Source organism: Homo sapiens, chromosome X, assembly GCF_000001405.40.
Source record: "Homo sapiens chromosome X, GRCh38.p14 Primary Assembly".
Taxonomy (NCBI): Eukaryota; Metazoa; Chordata; class Mammalia; order Primates; family Hominidae; genus Homo; species Homo sapiens.
Genome location: NC_000023.11, coordinates 153,805,635 through 153,822,106, shown reverse-complemented (window position 1 = coordinate 153,822,106; position 16,472 = coordinate 153,805,635). Strand labels below are relative to the sequence as shown.

At 56.0% G+C, this 16,472-nt stretch overlaps 1 protein-coding gene across 6 annotated transcripts in view, besides 1 other annotated feature; it reads left to right on the top strand.

Moving 5' to 3' along the window:
* PDZD4 (PDZ domain containing 4) overlaps positions 1–16,472 on the top strand; it is a 28,379-nt gene that overhangs the window by 8,438 nt on the left and 3,469 nt on the right. For 2 of the 6 annotated variants that reach the window (NM_032512.5, NM_001303516.2), the window contains exons 2-5: positions 13,512–13,747; positions 14,738–14,828; positions 15,267–15,365; positions 15,974–16,036. In NM_032512.5, the coding sequence (NP_115901.2) occupies positions 13,512–13,747; positions 14,738–14,828; positions 15,267–15,365; positions 15,974–16,036 (489 nt within the window). Of the gene's footprint in view, positions 1–13,511; positions 13,766–13,967; positions 14,211–14,737; positions 14,829–15,266; positions 15,366–15,973; positions 16,037–16,472 lie in introns of all 6 variants that reach the window. The other 4 variants (NM_001303512.2, NM_001303515.2, NM_001303513.3 and 1 more) reach the window with 3 other exon arrangements.
* Positions 2,903–3,062: a silencer, noted in NCBI's record as "silent region_21072". NCBI's record gives its function as "represses an Ori minimal core promoter by ATAC-STARR-seq in GM12878 lymphoblastoid cells {active_cell/tissue: GM12878}" and the evidence as "EXISTENCE:reporter gene assay evidence [ECO:0000049][PMID:35858748]".

Below are 16,472 nucleotides of genomic sequence, written 5' to 3'. Positions count from 1 at the left end.
CAAGCAATTCTGCCTCAGCCTCCCGAGTAGCTGGGATTACAGGCACCTGCCACCACGCCTGGCTAATTTTTGTATTTTTAGTAAAGACAGGGTTTCATCATGTTGGCCAGTCTGGTCTCAAACTCCTGACCTCTAGTGATCCGCCTGCCTCGGCCTCCCAAAATGCTGGGATTACAGGCGTGAGCCACCGCGCCCGGCCTCCTTTCTGCTTCTGAGCCAGGACTATGGAGGTGTCTGAGAGGCCGCCGCTCTCCCGGAAAGGTGGGGGCCAGGTGGATTGATGAGACTTCAGCAGACCCTGGGCTTCGGGGAGGGAAGGAGAAGTGAGGGGAAAGAAAGATGCCCTCATGCAGAAGGCCTTCGTTGAGGTCTGCCCTGGTTCCTCCAGGGCGCGCTCTGAGTCAGTACAGCGCCACCCTCCACCCGAAGTCCTTGTTAAGGTGCACTTTCTGACTGAGCCACTAGCATGGGGCCTGGGATTCTGCACTTCTCACAAGCTCCCAGGTGATGTGGATCCCACTGGCTGTGAGTAGCCAGGGCCTTGGGTAGGGACCGGGAGTAGATCTATGGTAGCCCCAAACCACATTAACATGGGTGGTGAAGTGAGGTGTTGTTTTTTTTGTTTGTTTGTTTTGTTTTTTTTTTTTACAAATAGAGGGTAAAAATTGTTTACAAATAGAGGGTAAAAAAACACACATAGAGGGTAAATCAGAACATCCAGGAGTCGTTGCCTACGTGAGGGCTTTACAGGACATAACTTGTTCTTCCCTGCCATGTGCAGCTAACTGACCCCCTTCCCTGTCACCGGCACCCCTACCGGTATACATGTCTCTCATGGACGCCCAGACACCCCTCCCCCGACTAACTGCTCAAAGGCCTTTGAGATGAAGCCCTCCCATGTTTCTGTCTCTCCTGCCCCCAGGCAGAAAGGGTGGGCACAGAGTTATGGAAGCGGGTGGTGTGGCTTGCCCAGGAGGCCACAGTTGGGGGCGTGGGCAGCCATGCTACTTGCCGGGCCTGTCACCTCTTTGTCCCTGCTAGAATTCTAACATGTTGGTGGAGACATTTTGCAGCCACCAATGCAGTAATTAATTCAGGCAAAAATCATCACTGGATGCCAAAACCATTAGATGTAAGGTCGTTGGGGACAGAATATTCACAAAGTCTCCAAATATTACCCCAAATTACCTGTGAATCAGGAAGGGAAACTGCGTCTTTACAGAGGAGAGATCTGGCAGCTGCCACCTGGACCATGTGATCAAACAGCCTCCCCAACAGTGGGGCAGCCTGACCCTGCCAGCCGCCAGATGCAGGGCTGGGGAGGAGACATACAGCATCTCCTGCAAGGTGCTCTTGTCAAAACGCTCAGCCTGAATCTCACCGCGGGAATGAATCAGGCAAATTCAGACTCTGGCGCATTCTATAAGGACTGGTCTCTTCCAAGAAGTCATTCCCATTAAAGTAAAAAATATATATATTTTTTTCTAGATTAGAGAGGAGACATAATAACTAGAGACCTAACAACCGAATGTAATATGTGTGCTTCTTGATTGAATCCTAGATTTTTTGTTTGTTTGTTTTGTTTTTGAGATGGAGTCTCTCTGTGTCACCCAGGCTGGAGTGTGATGGTGTGATCTCAGCTCACTTCAACCTCTGCTTCCTGGGTTCAATCAATTCTCCTGCCTCAGCCTCCCAAGTAGCTGGGACCATAGGCTGCACCACCACGCCTCGCTTTTTTTTTTTTTTTTTTTTTTTTTGAGATGGAGTCTTGCTCTGTCGCCCAGGCTGGAGTGCAGTGGCACGATCTCGGCTCACTGCAACCTCCTCCGCCACCCGGGTTCAAGTGATTCTCCTGCCTCAGCCTCCCTAGTAGCTGGAACTACAGGTGCAAGCCACCACGCCCGGCTAATTTTTGTATTTTTAGTAGAGACGGGGTTTCACCATATTGGCCATGCTGGTCTCGAACTCCTGACCTTGTGATCTGCCCGCCTCAGCCTCCCAAAGTGCTGGGATTACAGGCATGAGCCATTGTGCCCAGCCTCAAATCCTAGATTTTTAAAAAAAGCTATAAGGGTGTTAGCGGGACAGCTGGGGAGATGTGAGGCTGGCCCATTGTATGAGTGCGGAATTCCGTGCTAAGGGTGTTGTGGTTCCACGGAGAATGGGACTGATGGCATCTTGCTTTCAAATGCTTCTGCACATGTGTGTGTAGAAACCCCGAGAGCAGGTGTGGGGAATCTGCAGATGTTCCCACATGCTTGTGGGCGGACAATTTTCAAAATCCCGAGCTGGGGAAACATGAATGGGGACTTTGCTGGGTCACTGAGTGGGTGAATGTAGTGAGCCTGCGGCTTCTCCTTTCTCCTCTGATGCTCTACTCGTTGGGAGATCCCCCGATGCCTGACTTGGCCTGGAAGCTACAGTCACAACTGCTTCCAAGGTGTCCTGGATACTCCAGACGGCAGAGCTGAGAGCCAGCAGGCAGGTCAGAGCTCGGCCCCGGGCAGAGGATAACTTCCTGTCTCTGTCCTTCCCCAGCTTGTTTCCTACTCTACAGCAGTGGGGTAAGGGGAGTCCGAAGGTGGCAGCCCCCCCACCTCCGTGGCAGCCACGGGGGCCCCTGGAAGTGATGTGGCTTCACCTCCCATCCCGCGCGTTGCCAGTGAGAGTGAAAGGGGTCGCAGGCGCCGTGTGACAAGCACTTGGGATTGCGAGTCTCCCAGGCCACAACTGTTTTCTTAGCCTCTCCGGCCTCTCTTCTCGGCTTCCCAGAGATTCCTGATCAGCAAGAGGGCGTCGCGCCCCACCCGGCTGTGCGCCTGCCACCGCTGGGTGCAGGAGGGTGCCTGGGGCAGAGCCTGGAAACAGAGCTCAGCCTCCGACGGGGTTGGCGGGGCGGGCGGGCAGGAGTCCTGCCAATACAGCCACCAGCGTGGCGGCGCCGGGACGAGTGTGGTCCGCCCTGCTCCCGCAGCCGCAGCCACCCCGCCGCCGTCGCGGCGCGCTCTTTGTCTGCGGCTCCGGGCTCAGGGGGCGGGGCGAGCGCGCCTGGGGCTCCGCCCTCTCCGCCTAGGGCGCCCCGCTTCCCGCGTCCCCTAAGGCCCGCCAGTCCCTTGCCCAGCGGGAGATCGCCGCCCCACAGCGACTGCCCGTGGGGCCGACTTCGCGTCATGCCTGCCTCGCCTGCCCGGTGTTGCCCCCTCCCCTGTCCCTGTGTCCCCCCTCCCTTGCCCGCATGTCCCCCTCATGCGGGGAAAGCGGTGCCAGCACTTTCCCTGGCCTTGCGAATTGCTCTTCCATCGGTATTCAGCCGCCCCTCTGATGTTCCTGAAAACCCAACCTGCTCCTTCTCTGCAAAAAGCTCCGGAAGGCTGTGTCGATGCAGGTCGAGCTTCCCCACCCGGCCCCCTCCCACCTTTTAGCAAATCCAGAGGCCCCACCTTCGCCCTCCCCTCCCGGGCTCCGACCCAGTGCATTGAGCAGCTCCTCGGCTTCCCTCCCGGGACTTTCTAGTCTCTCTCCCCAACCGGCTCAGTGTCAGGGTGCCCCAGGACTCTCCTTGGGCCTCTCCTGTTCTTGACTACATTCACTCCCTAGGTGAGCTCCTCCATCTCATGCTTTTGCTTTTTAAATTTTTATTTATTTATTTTTAAATTTTTATTATTTTTGAGACAGGGTCTCAGTCCGTTGCTCAGGCTGGAGTGGAGTGGCACAATCACGGCTCACTGCAGCCTTGACCTCCCAATGCTCAGGTGATCCTCTTGCCTCAGCCCTACCGCCTGCCCCCTACCTCCTCCACCACTTGGGGCTACAGGAGCGAGACACCACGCCCAGCTTCATCTCATGATTCTTTTTTTGTTTGAGACGGAGTCTTGCTCTGTTGCCCAGGCTGGAGTACAGTGGTGTGATCTGGGCTCACTGCAACCTCCACCTCCTGGGTTCCAGTGGTTCTCCTGCCTCAGCCTCCCAAGTAGTTGGGATTACAGGTGCCTGCCACCACGCCCTGCTAATTTTTGTATTTTTCGTAGAGATAGGGTTTCGCCATGTTGGCCAAGCTGGTCTCGAACTCCTGACCTCAAGTGATCCGTCTGTCTCGGCCTCCCAAAGTGCTGGGACTACAGGCTTGAGCCACCGTGCCTGGCCGTCATCTTATGATTTTAAATAAAGAAAAATTCCTAGTTTAATTGAACAGCAATGGTCACATGCCACCCAGTTAGCTGACTTGGGCTTGGGCCAGACATTTGGAGTGGGGCACTGGAGATGTCCACATGCCTCGGGAAGTTCAAGCTAGAGATAAAAACCTTCCATTTCCTGCCCTGGGCCTAATCCCTGAGTCCTTCCTTCCTCGGTCTTCCTCACTGCTGTGAGGATACCCCTGGTCCTTGTGGTCCTGTGTGGCAATTTTATGTTTTCTTGTGGTAAGATACGCATAACATAACATTTACCACTAGTGACTTTTAGTCTATTCTCAATGTTGTGCAGCCGTGGCCACTGTCTAGTTCCAGAACAGGTTCATCGCCCCAAAAGGGACCTCATATCCCTCAGCAGTGACTCCCCAGGCCCCCCTTCCTCCAGGTCCTGGCAACCATTCGTCTGCTTTCTGTCTGCCTCTTTGCCTTGGCTAGACTGTGCTCATGCAGTCGTGTGTGCCGGTCGTTCATTCTTTTTATGTCGGGATGGGTGTACCATGTTGTGCTCGCTCATCCATTCATCCACTGGTGGACACGGGTTGCCTCCGAGTCTTGGTTACTATGGATACTCTGCTGTGAGCATTTGAGTATAAGTTTTCTTTGCATGCCTGTTCTCAACTATGGATACTCTGCTGTGAGCATTTGAGTGTAAGTTTTCTTTGCACGCCTGTTCTCAGTTCTTTGGGGATTGCTGGGTCATGTACATAAGCTACACCTAACCTTGTGAGGAGCCACCAGACTGCTTCCCTGGCTGCACTATTTTACATGCCCAGCAGCAAGGCGTGAGGCTCCAGGGTCCCCGCGTCCTCTCCAATACTCGTGCTTCCTTTCACTGATTCCAGCCTCCTCGTGGTGTGCGGCGGTATCTCACTGTGGTTTGGGTGTGTGTTTCCTCTGTGCGTACTGGCCGGTGCTGACGCGTCTTTTCCTGCGCTTATTCGATGTCTTCTTCAAGCCCTCACTGTCCCTTGCCCCCAGCCCAACAGCAGGTCCTGGCAGCCTACCTCTAAAACCCAAGCTGACTCTGACCACATCCCACCACCTCTACTGCCACCCCTGGGGTCATGCCACCATCATCTGTGGTCTGGACCACTGCCGTTGCCTGCTGGTCTGGCCCTTACAGTCTGTTCTCCTGGGAGCTCCCTTCGCTACAAGGAAGGAAGCATGGCTGGTTTCTTGTCATCATTTAGGTCTCAGCTCAAGTGTCACCGACCCAGAGAGGCTGTCCTGACCACTCTACCCACCCAGGCAGCTTTGTCTCTGTCCCCTCCCACCTTCCAACCAAGCCCCTTGGGGAGCGGAACGGGATGGGGGGTGTGTTCTGGATCCACCGTCTCTCCCTTCAGCTCCTTGGCACTCCTTTCCTATGGGGCACCCTGTCCAGGGCAGGTGGGGCAGGATTCCCCCCTCTTCCCTCATCTCCCGTGCTTCCCGGGCCCACCCCCCAGCATCTCCAGCCTGCCCGGGAGTCACATGTCCTCGGCCCACAGAATCCCCAGCACACGCCCCACCCACAGGCCTAGCCCCAGCCCTGGGGTCCCTGGCACCCCACCTGCCAGGGCCCCTCCCCTGCCTTGCTCACCCCCCAACACACCTGATTGTTGGAAAGGTCTTCCCATGCCCACCACGACCCCCTCCCACTCATCTGTGGGCGGGAGAGCTTGGTCCCTGCCGCACGTTGCCCCCCTAGCATCCAGGCCCACCACCGAGCCCCCGACAGGCCTGGGAGCCCCACTGGTGGGTGGGGACCCACCAGCTGGGGGTCTTGCTCACACCGAGGGGCTGGGGGTGGCGGTGGCTTTCTCAGGGCACCCTGCCTTGGGCTGCAGGCCGCTGGGTGGGCACCGGCTCCCTCGGAAGGCAGCGCAACCCGGGATCCTGCCGGCCCTGGCCCCCACCCTGCCGACCGGGCCTGGGGCGATCAGTGCCCCAGCTCCTGTCCTCTTCTGCTCAGATGCTGGGTTGGGAGATCAGGGGCCACAGCTCGGCCACTCAGAGCCCTTTCCGCAAGTCTTAGAGGGACCAGCTGCGGGGTGTGTGCAGAGGGGCTGCGCTGTGGGGAGGGCGCATGGCTCAGTCCTCCTGGCCTGAGGCCCGCCTAGCCTAAGTGGCCTCCAGGACCCATGGCCAGGCCCTTCTGCAGCCTTCCAGAAAGAACCAGCTTCCCAGGGTTCCCTGGGGAAGGCCTGGGGCCACCTCCTCTGGAGGGGTGGGGCCTGTGCTTCATTCCTCCTTCCCCAGGTCCCCTTCCAGGCCGCCAGGTCCCCTCCCCGACCTGGAGCCCACAGCCTTGTAATTAAATTGTAAACGTCCTTGTAATTAAATTCATGTAATATCCATTATTATTATTACTGTTTTAGACTAAATTACTTAGAGCACATTGACTGGATCAAAGGCTACCATGAACGTTTTCAAGGGTTTTTATAGTTATTGACAAATTCTTCTCCAGAAATTTGACCACTTTACACTCTGGGGTAAGATTCAGACTAAGTGTGTCTAGAAAGGGTGATGGGGTCGGCTGGGAGGAGGAACTGGGCTTGCAGGGGACCTGGGGCAGTGAGTGCTCTCAGTGTGCAAAGGGGAACTGGGCTGTCCCAAGCAGGATGTGAGGGCCACTTGGGCCACATTCAGGCAGAGGGGCCCTGCTAAGGCTTGAGTCCCCTGTTCAGAGCAGGGACCATGGTGGAAATTAAGGACGTTCATGTCAACTGTGGTTGAGATTGGAGCTGCAGTCCTAGAGTCAGCCCTCTTGGGCCCATCTTGGCAGCAAATCAGGAAGGAAGTAGATCTGTGTGCTGAAGAGTCGCCATGGGGCACGTCAAGCCCCTGGCTGAGCCGTGGTGTGCTCACAGGCTGCTGCACTCCCCGGGGCAGCGGAGTGCCAGGGACTTGTATTTTCATCTTTGTGCTCCTCCGCCTCCTCAGTGTGGCGCTCTGAGCACTTCGATTATTTGAAAGGAAATGCGAAAATTTGTACAAAATCTATTGTGCTAGCACGTGATGGAGGAGGGGTCTTTGTGAACAGGCTTTGAGGGTTTGCTTGGCTCACAGCTCACTACCCAGTCAACAGGGTTGACTGCCACGGGGTGACCTCGCTAAGGTGAAGCATGATGCCCAGCACGTGGTCAGGATGGCACGGGAGCACTGGAGAAGATGAGAGTCGCTGGGAACCTGGGCGAGGGGGGACAAGGGGCATTTGAGTGGGCTTCAGGTACGTGAAGTGTTGCAAGATAAAGTGGGTTTCTTCTGGATTGTTCCAAAGGAGGGAGGTTGCTCTCAATGAAGGAAACATTCAATAGTGAGAGTTTTCCGATAATGAGCTCAGTCAACAATCCCCACTCTCCCCATACTAGAGAAGCAAAGTGGATTTCTTCTGGATTGTTCCAAAGGAGAGAAGTTTGCACTTGATGAAGGAGACTTTTTTTTGGGGGGGGGGTGGGGGGTGGATGGAGTCTGACTCTGTTGCCCAGGCTGGAGTGCAGTGGTGCAATCTCAGCTCACTGCAGCCTCCACCTCCCAGGTTCAAGTGATTCTCCTGCCTCAGCCTCTCAAGTAGCTGAGATTACAGGCGTGCACCACCATGCCCGGCTAAGTTTTGTATTTTTAGTTGAGACGGGGTTTCACTGTGTTGGCCAGGCTGGTCTCGAACTCCTGACCTCAGGTGATCTGCCTGCCTTGGCCTCCCAAAGTGCTGGGATTACAGGCGTGAGCCTCCGTGCTGGGCAATTTTTGTATTTTTAGTAGAGTCCGGGTACATCAGACTCAGGGGCTGGGTCATGCCTGTAATCTCAACACTTTTGGGGGGACTAAGCAGATGGCTTGAGCCCAGGAGTTCGAGACTAGCCTGGGCAACATGGTGAAACCCCATCTCTTATTATTATTATTTTTTAAAAGGTAGATCAGATAAATTACAGGTCCTTAATATATATTCAACAAATTACAGAAATATATAAAATTTTAATTCAGCCAAGAAACATATTAAAGTTTTATCTTCAGCAAACTGTTAGGAGTTGGGATGGAAGTAGAACTCAGGGTGAAGCCCTCTTGGGGTTTGTTGTCTAATGAAAGGGAGGTAATTAGACAATCACACATAAAAGGCTGAGCTCCAGCCTGGGTATCTTGAGGCCTCCTGGACTTGCTGTAGCATCTGGAGAAGTATGGGGCATCATCTCGCATCACTTAGCACCAGCACTGCCACCCAGCCTTGATGTGGGTCCTGTTGGCCTGAGCGTTTTTCCTTGAAGAAGGTATTAAAAGCAGATTGAAGCCGCCTGTGCCCACCCATCCCCTACGCACTTCATCTGCTCGCCTCTCTGCCGTGTTTTCCACCAAGTACATACTACGAATGAGCCTCCATTATGTGCGCCTCCATTAACTGCACATGCGGAATACCAGGAATTGTTTGTTCGACTGCTGGCAGACCTTTGGGCTGTCCCTGGTGTTTGGCCACTGTGGCCTTCATGCCCACATCCTCCTGGTCCTCCTGGTGGTGGTTCTGAAGGGCATCTCCTCTCATCTCATGGCTCCAAGTGCTTGCTAGTGGGTCCCCTTTGCCCTGAGCACCTGTTGATATCCTTTGCCCATGTTCTTCTTGAGTTGTTTGTGTCTGTGTTTTCTTGTTGTTTTGTAGGAATTCTTTGCATATTCTGGAAAACCCATTATGAGGTCCATGCATTGTAAGGCTCTCCTCTGAGCCCGCCTTTTTACTGTGTTTAGGGTGTCTTTTGTCGTCTAGAAGTTTTACATCTCTTCCATTATTGCTTCCCCATTTGAAATATTGAGAATTTCGTCTCTATCCCACACCATAAAGATATTGTTCTCTTGTTTTGCTTTGTCCCTGTAGGTCTTTGATCCAATTGGAATTGCTTGGCCAGGGCTTGGACTAGGTCTTCTGTCTTGGTGGGGCGAGCTCCCAGGGTGTGGAAACGTTTGCAGGTGGGGCAGGAGGGAGAGTCTGGTGGGAAGCAAGCCTGGGGTTGGCCATGTTGAGTGTTTGTGCCTTTTAGAGACTGGAGTGGTCGAGTAGGCAATCCGAGGGTTGGGGCATTACAGGGGTGGCTTTACCAGTGTGCTACCTCAGGATGGTTGGGGGTGGGGCGGGGAGGCAAGGCTCTGAGCAGGACTGGAAGAGCTGCTGTCATCAGAAGGGCCACAGTGTGGCTCCTTACCATGTGCCTGGCCCTATACCTCTTTGCTCATGGCCCCATATTTTCCCACCTTGTTGGTAGCCCTTAGCCCTTCCCCAGAGGGGAGCTCATTTCTTCCTTGGGGGTCCAGCATGACCGATGAGGAGGAGAGAGAGAGAGAGCGAGAAGGCTTCAGGAGCCCGTGGCTTCCACCCAAATACCTGCCTGGCTGTCACAGGCGATCACTCTGGTTGCTGCTGATCCGAGGTGCTGAGGCTGTGCCCACGCCCATCCCCCTCTTGACATCCCAGCCTCCGCCAGCCCGCCCAGCAAGCGCTCCTCAGTTTCCATAGCAACACTGCTGCTCGGTAATGATTCCGGGTAGAAAGGCATTCGTGCGTTCTCTGTCATCTCTGTCACCTGAGCATCCCACTGCCTGCTTGCTGTCCTGCCCCGGGAGTTCAGGAAGAAACCCTGAGGACAGCTCCGAGCCCTTCTGCTTGTGTGTTGGCTTCTCCTCAAGGGCAGTGGTAAGGTGGTAAATGTTCCCAGACAAAAAGCCCTGATTTGGAGCATTTGCCGATTTCCCTGGTGTAAATGCTGCCACTATAGCCGATTTCAAGCCACCACTGCGATGTCACTGAACTTGGAGTTGGGGGAATGCACACATAGTATTTCCATCTCCCATACCAGATGTGAATAACCCCAAAAGCACAGATGACAGAAAAGTGTAGTAAGATAATTAGACAGTGATGTGTTCCGAGGATTTATTGCCTTTGTTGTTAATATCATTCAGTTACCTGTACATTTCTACGGTTAAAATACCAATAATCGCTGTGTTTGACAACTGGCTTCCAAATTTCCCAGCTTCAGTTGGCTCTAGCCACTGCTGCTGAGAGTGTCGAGGCCATTCCATCATGTCCCTTTGTCTACAGCCTTCCTGAACCCACACTCTGCTGCCGCCCACCCTCTTCCATCCTGCCTTTCTAACTGTAGCCTCTCCACCAAGCACAGCATGCCCTGTCCTGACTGACATTCTTACGGTCTTCCAACAAATACCTTCTTGGCTGAAAGCTGTTTCCTTTATAGTATTTGATCCAGAAATTCCACCTCAAGAAATTTTCTCCACCTTGACAACCACTGGTTACACAAAGATTTAAGTATGAAAAATGTATAAAATGGACCCCAGAATGTGTCTTTGCCACATTCTTTATAATAAAAAATCAAAGCCACCCTTACTGATGTGATGATGAACATGATGGTCCACTGGTGTGTTGGTGTGGATGGACCTTAAGGGGCCTGCAGCTGCAAAATGGCACACATAGAAAACAGACTGGAAGGAAACAGGCCGCATGGCCAGGTGCGGTGGCTCATGCCTATAATCCCAGCACTTTGGGAGGCTGAGGCAGGAGGATTACTTGAGGTCAGGAGTTTGAGACCATCCTGGCCAACATAGTGAAACCCCATCTCTACTAAAAATACAAAAATTATCCAGGCGTGGTGGTGGGTGCCTGTAATCCTAGCTATTGGGGAGGCTGAGGCAGGAGAATCACTTGAACCCAGGAGGCAGAGGTTGCAGTGAGCCAAGATTATGCCACTGCACTTCAGCCTGGATGACAGAGCAAGACTCTGTCTAAAAAAAAAAAAACAACAGCTGGGTGTGGTGGCACACACCTGTAGTCCCAGCTACTTGGGAGGCTGAGGCAGGAGAATTGCTTGAGCCCAGGAGGTGGAGGTTGCAGTGAGCCAAGATCGTGCCACTGCACCCCAGCCTGGGCAACAGAGCAAGACTCCATCTCAACAAAAAAAAGCCCCCAAAAAACAAAAAAATGAACTGTGTTTCTTTTATAATCGGACAAAACTGATTTTGACAAAAAGCTCTTTTCAGAATATGAAAATTTTGGGGAGAAGGGAGACATAGAAAACTTCAATGATTATCTACAAGGACATAGTCAAATAGAAAAAAAGTAATGCAGGAGCCGCTGCTGAGGCCACAGGGGTTCCGAGGACAAGCTGGGCTCTCCTCAGATAGCTGTCTTCCCGAAAAGACTCGTACAGCGGTGGTTCTACTGTATCGCGGGCACTAAGACAAGATTTTGCCGTCAGAATTGACATCTCTGTGAGAAACCCGGGGTGGGAGGTGCCGCCGTGAGAATGCAGGACAGAGAGTTCTTCTAAACTTGCTAATATTCGCACAACTCGGAAAAGCAGAGGGCTCCGTGCAGGCGCAGCCACCTGCGCCCATGCCCAGGGCCCTTCTGCCCTCTCATCTGGCACAAGCTCCCAGCCTGCTCCATCCCTAGGCGGACTCTGGGTCTCCTCGCCCTGCCCTCTCTGTGCTGACTGGGGGCTTTGCTTCCAACTGCAAACCAGCCTCCCTGGGTCTTTTCTTGGCCCTGTTCCCTTTGCCTGATGGAGGCCAGGTGTCCCCTGCTCCAGAAGCCTTCCCCGCCTCCCACCGAGGCGTGCATGGCCAGCCGTGTGCTCCCTTAGCTGTGGGTAAGGTCTGTCCCCACGCTCACCTGCGGGGCATAGCCATTTGGGCATAATGCTAGTGTGTAGCCTCCCCAGGCCCAGAACAGCCCTTCCATAAGCCGCTGAGCCCATGAGGAGACCCTGCACGCCTGCCTCGAGCTGCCTCCTCCTAGAAGTGCTTCCTGCTGACCCTTGCTGGCCCCATGGCACGTGCCCTGAATTCTGGTGGAGTCTGTTCAGTCCTTCTTGGTCCTTAGTCATTCGTCCCTTCTCTACTTGCCTCCCTTCCCCAAGGAGGACTTGAAGGTCGCAGCATACTGTCCCAGGGTGCTGCGGAAGCAGCCTTCGACCTTGTGGGCACTGCTTGCCCCACCACCTGCGCTGTGCGTAATGGGCTTCCTTCTGCTACCCTTCATTGTCCTTCCTTCACCCCTACAGCATCCCGCAGAGCTGCTTAGGTCCTACTTCCGCCTTGGGCCCTGGCCCGCGATGGCCTCCTCCTCCCTGACCCCTCCTTCTGGCCACCGGGCAGCCTGTCCTGGCTCATGACCTTGACTCAGTGCCACAACCTTGCTGAGCTTGCTGACATGGTTTCCTCATCTGCAATAATGGCATCTCCCTCAAGGTTGTTGGGGGTTAGGATTTTGTGGAGACCCACATCAGGGGTCTTTCCCAGAATGTAGCACATGGCACGTGCCCAAAAAACAGTAGTGGCATTTTTTTTTCTTTGAGACGGAGTCTCGCTCTGTCGCCCAAGCTGGAGTACAGTGGTGCGATCTCGGCTCACTGCAAGCTCCGCCTCCTGGGTTCATGCCATTTTCCTGCCTCAGCCTCCCGAGGAGCTGGGACTACAGGCGCCCACCACCACGCCCGGCTAATTTTTTGTATTTTTAGTAGAGATGGGGTTTCACTGTGTTTAGCCAGGATGGTCTCGATCTCCTGACCTCGTGATCTGCCCGCCTAGGCCTCCCAAAGTGCTGGGATTACAGGCGTGAGCCACCGCACCCGGCCTAGTGGTGGCTTTATAAGGACCACTTTCTTGGCACCTCTTTTAGGCTACTTTGCAGTTCCAGGGGGCTTCTTGTACATCAAGGCCTTTTCTCTTGGGCAAGTCAGTTGTCACTGTGAGGACACAACACTGTATCTTTAGGCATCTTCCTACTTGTCCCCCAACCTGACCCTGGCCCTCCCTAGTGAGTAGACATTTGTTGAGAGACTCGGCTCATCTGAAGAGTCAAGGTCATCCTCTTGCTTGATGCTGAATGAGCACAACACAGATGCTCACTGAGTGTTGGCTGTTATGGTCCAGTCATTGCCAAGGAACTCAATGGGATCTTCATGCTAGCTCTGGCCTCAGTGCCGCCCTAGAAAGAAGTGGGTCCGGATGGGGAGAGGCCAGGAGAGCTCAAGCAGTGTCTGGAGGACGTTGTAGGGCGGTATCACAGCCTCCAGACCCAGTGCACAGAGGCTGGGTCCCCCAGTCCTTGGTGTGACTTGGTGATCCCCAGCTGGCCTTCAGTGGGATGAAGGCTGAGCAGTGGGGCTTGCCTGGGAACAGGGGCACCAAAGGTAGCCAGGGCTGCAGACAGCAGATTCCTTGCTTGAGTGGCTTGGGGTGCTGGTTGTCAGCCCAGGTCCTGCCAGCTAGGGCCTCTGCCTTGACCTCAGAGGGGAGGAGCAAGCCTTTGAGGGTTCTTACGGAGGCGTGTCTCTGCCGCAGGTGAACGGGAAGGAGCTCTCCAAGCTGTCTCAGGAGCAAACTCTGCAGGCCCTGCGCTCCTCCAAGGAGCCCCTGGTGATCCAGGTGCTGAGACGCAGCCCCCGCCTCCGGGGGGACAGCTCCTGTCACGACCTGCAGCTGGTGGACAGTGGCACTCAGACCGACATCACCTTCGAGCATATCATGGCGCTGGGCAAGCTGCGTCCGCCCACCCCGCCCATGGTCATCCTGGAGCCGTACGTCCTCTCTGAGCTGTGAGTCGCCCTCAGGAGGGCCCCGGGCCCTGCCTCCAGAGAGGACAGGCCACCTGGAGCGGCCATCCGCACGCCACCCTCTCGGGCAGGAAGCAGGCCCCTCGGCCTCCAGAACTGACCGTGGTACCCAAGGGCTCCAAAACCTCCAGGCCTCTAGCCTTGGGCCGGGCTCCAGCAGGCGCCCCGTTGTATCTACCCCCAGGGCCGAGGGAGGACCCTCCTGTCCGGGACGTCGCTGCCGGAAGTGCCAGGGTTGAGGGCCTCAGCTCCTCCTCCTCCATCCTCTCTCCTCTGCCGCCTCACAAGCATCACTCCTTGAATCTTCTTGCATCCCTTGTCTGTCTCATTCCTCTACCTGCTCTGAATTTCCTCCATCTCTTCAGCTTCTTTCTTTGGCCCGACCGGAAGAAGGGCCTTTCATCCAGGCCTGGTGGCTCATGACCGCGTGAGCGCTGCCTCATTCTGCTAATCTTAGCCCGGGCTGCGGGGAGGTAGGCCACAGGGCCATGAGCAGCCAACCTTAGTTTTGGGGCCAGGAGGGCAGCCCCTGGAGGTAGGGTGGGCCCCCCTCTGCTCTGCAGAAGTCCTCCAGGGCCTGGATAACTCCTGGGGGCGTTGCATGAGTGGGGCCAGTGCTGGGCGGGCGGGTGGGCACCCGGAGATTGGAGAAGTTGGTCCCTGCCAGCTGGCGTGGTTGGAGGAGTTCTGGTCTGGGGGACGGGAACGCTAGAGGCATGCGCAGGTCCTCTGCGTGGACGCTGCACACTCAGGTGCGAGAAGTGCCCCCGGTCTTTGCATGGCTGCATGTTGCCCAGGAAGGGGCTCTGCAGGAGGCAACTGGGCCACCCACCCTTGAGAGCACAAGCAGAGCAGGCCTCCGTGCCAGGCACGCTGGGATCGGCCTGCCTGGGAGCTGGGGCTGAGGTGTGAGAGGATGGCCAGCTGGTCTGACCCCCACCTTCTCCTGGGCAGCCCCCCAATCAGCCATGAGTATTATGACCCGGCGGAGTTTATGGAGGGCGGCCCGCAGGAGGCAGACCGCTTGGATGAGCTGGAGTATGAGGTGAGCCGGGTGGCCAGGCCAGGGCCCGCAGCCAGCTGCGGGAGCCGCCCCGACGCCTGTGTGCCTTCCTGCCCAGGCCCAACCCCGTGGCCCTCCTGGCACGCATCTGGCTGAGTCAGGGAGGGTGCGGGTGAGGTTACGTGTTCCGTCCATGTCGGTGAGTCCACGTCCCATGCACGTCTGTCTTCTGTGTCCTGTGCCTGTGTGTGCCTCGTGCATTTCCTGGGAGGGAGACCACTGAGTACGTGCGCCACGTGGGATGGTAAGAGAGACCCTCAAAGCGGGGCCTGGAAACTGAGCTCAGGGGGCTCCAGAGGAAGCTGAGGGGCTGCGGGCTGAGGGGTTGCGGGCTGAGGGGCTGGGCTGTGCTGCCTGCTCCCTCACTCACGCATTTCTGGGGCTTTCTACCTCTGCTTCCTCCCGGACCCCTCGTGGCAGGAGGTGGAGCTGTATAAAAGCAGCCACCGGGACAAGCTGGGCCTGATGGTTTGCTACCGCACGGACGACGAGGAGGACCTGGGCATTTATGTCGGAGAGGTATGCAGACGGGTATGCCCCAGCCCCGAGGCCCATCCACATGGCCTGCCTGTGGCTCAGAGGCTGCCCTTAAGGTCCCAGCTACCAGAAACAGGGCATCACAGCTAGGGTGCTGCGTGGTGAGGCGATGATGGTCGACGGCTTCAGCCACTGTCCAGTGAGGTAGTCATCTGCAGAAAGAGGCCTGTGCCTGGGTGGGACAGCAGATGGGCCTGAGAACTAGCAACAGGGTTGCTGTCTAGCCTTCTCCCGAACCCATCTTGGGCAGATGTCTTGTGTATCCCCAGGAGGGGGATGGCCCCTCGCTCCCCTCCCTACTAGTAGCATCCCACTAAAGCCACCCTTCCAGATGGACAATGTCCTACTTCCCACCAATGCCCGGGGCTGACCAAAAGCACAGGCTTCCGTGCAGAAGAGCCTAGGAGTGCAGGGCAGGGGCGGGGAGAGGTGACTACTCCACAGCCTCTGCCTCTGCTTCCTGGGGCTCAGAGCTGGAAGGGGAGCCAGAGAGCCTTCAGCTTGCTTTGGGGGCCCCTGAGGTGAGCCTGCCCCCTTCTACCGAAAGGGCATGTTAGGCACCAAGTCCCCAAGATGCGTGTGTCCTGCAGGTAAATCCCAACAGCATTGCAGCCAAAGACGGCCGGATCCGTGAGGGAGACCGCATCATCCAGGTGAGCACTTGCAGGCTGCAGGCCTGGCCCAAGGCCCCGCTGTGCCCGTCGGCCCAGCCACCTCTCTTTAGCCAGTCCCTAGCTCTCTCCCACTAAGAGCTAACCCTGAGGCCCAGCAGCCTGCCGTGTCCTAAACCCGGGCTGAGTCTCATCTCTCTCCTGCCCACTCACCCCAGTGGCTCCCGTGTGCCTATGGGATCTGCTGGCATCCAGGGCCCCTGCTGCTCTGAAACCTCCTGGCCCCTCTCCCTCTGCCCCACTCCATGCTCTCCTGAGCACACATTTGCTCTTGCAAGAGTCAGGCCGCCCTCTCCCTGGTACCTTCCACTTAGTTACATCCTCCCAGAGCTCAAGCCCCAGCCTAGCCCAGCCGAGCCCAGAGTGCTTGGGCTCCCTGCACCCGCCCAGGGTCCGCCCCAGGGCCAGCCCTAGCATG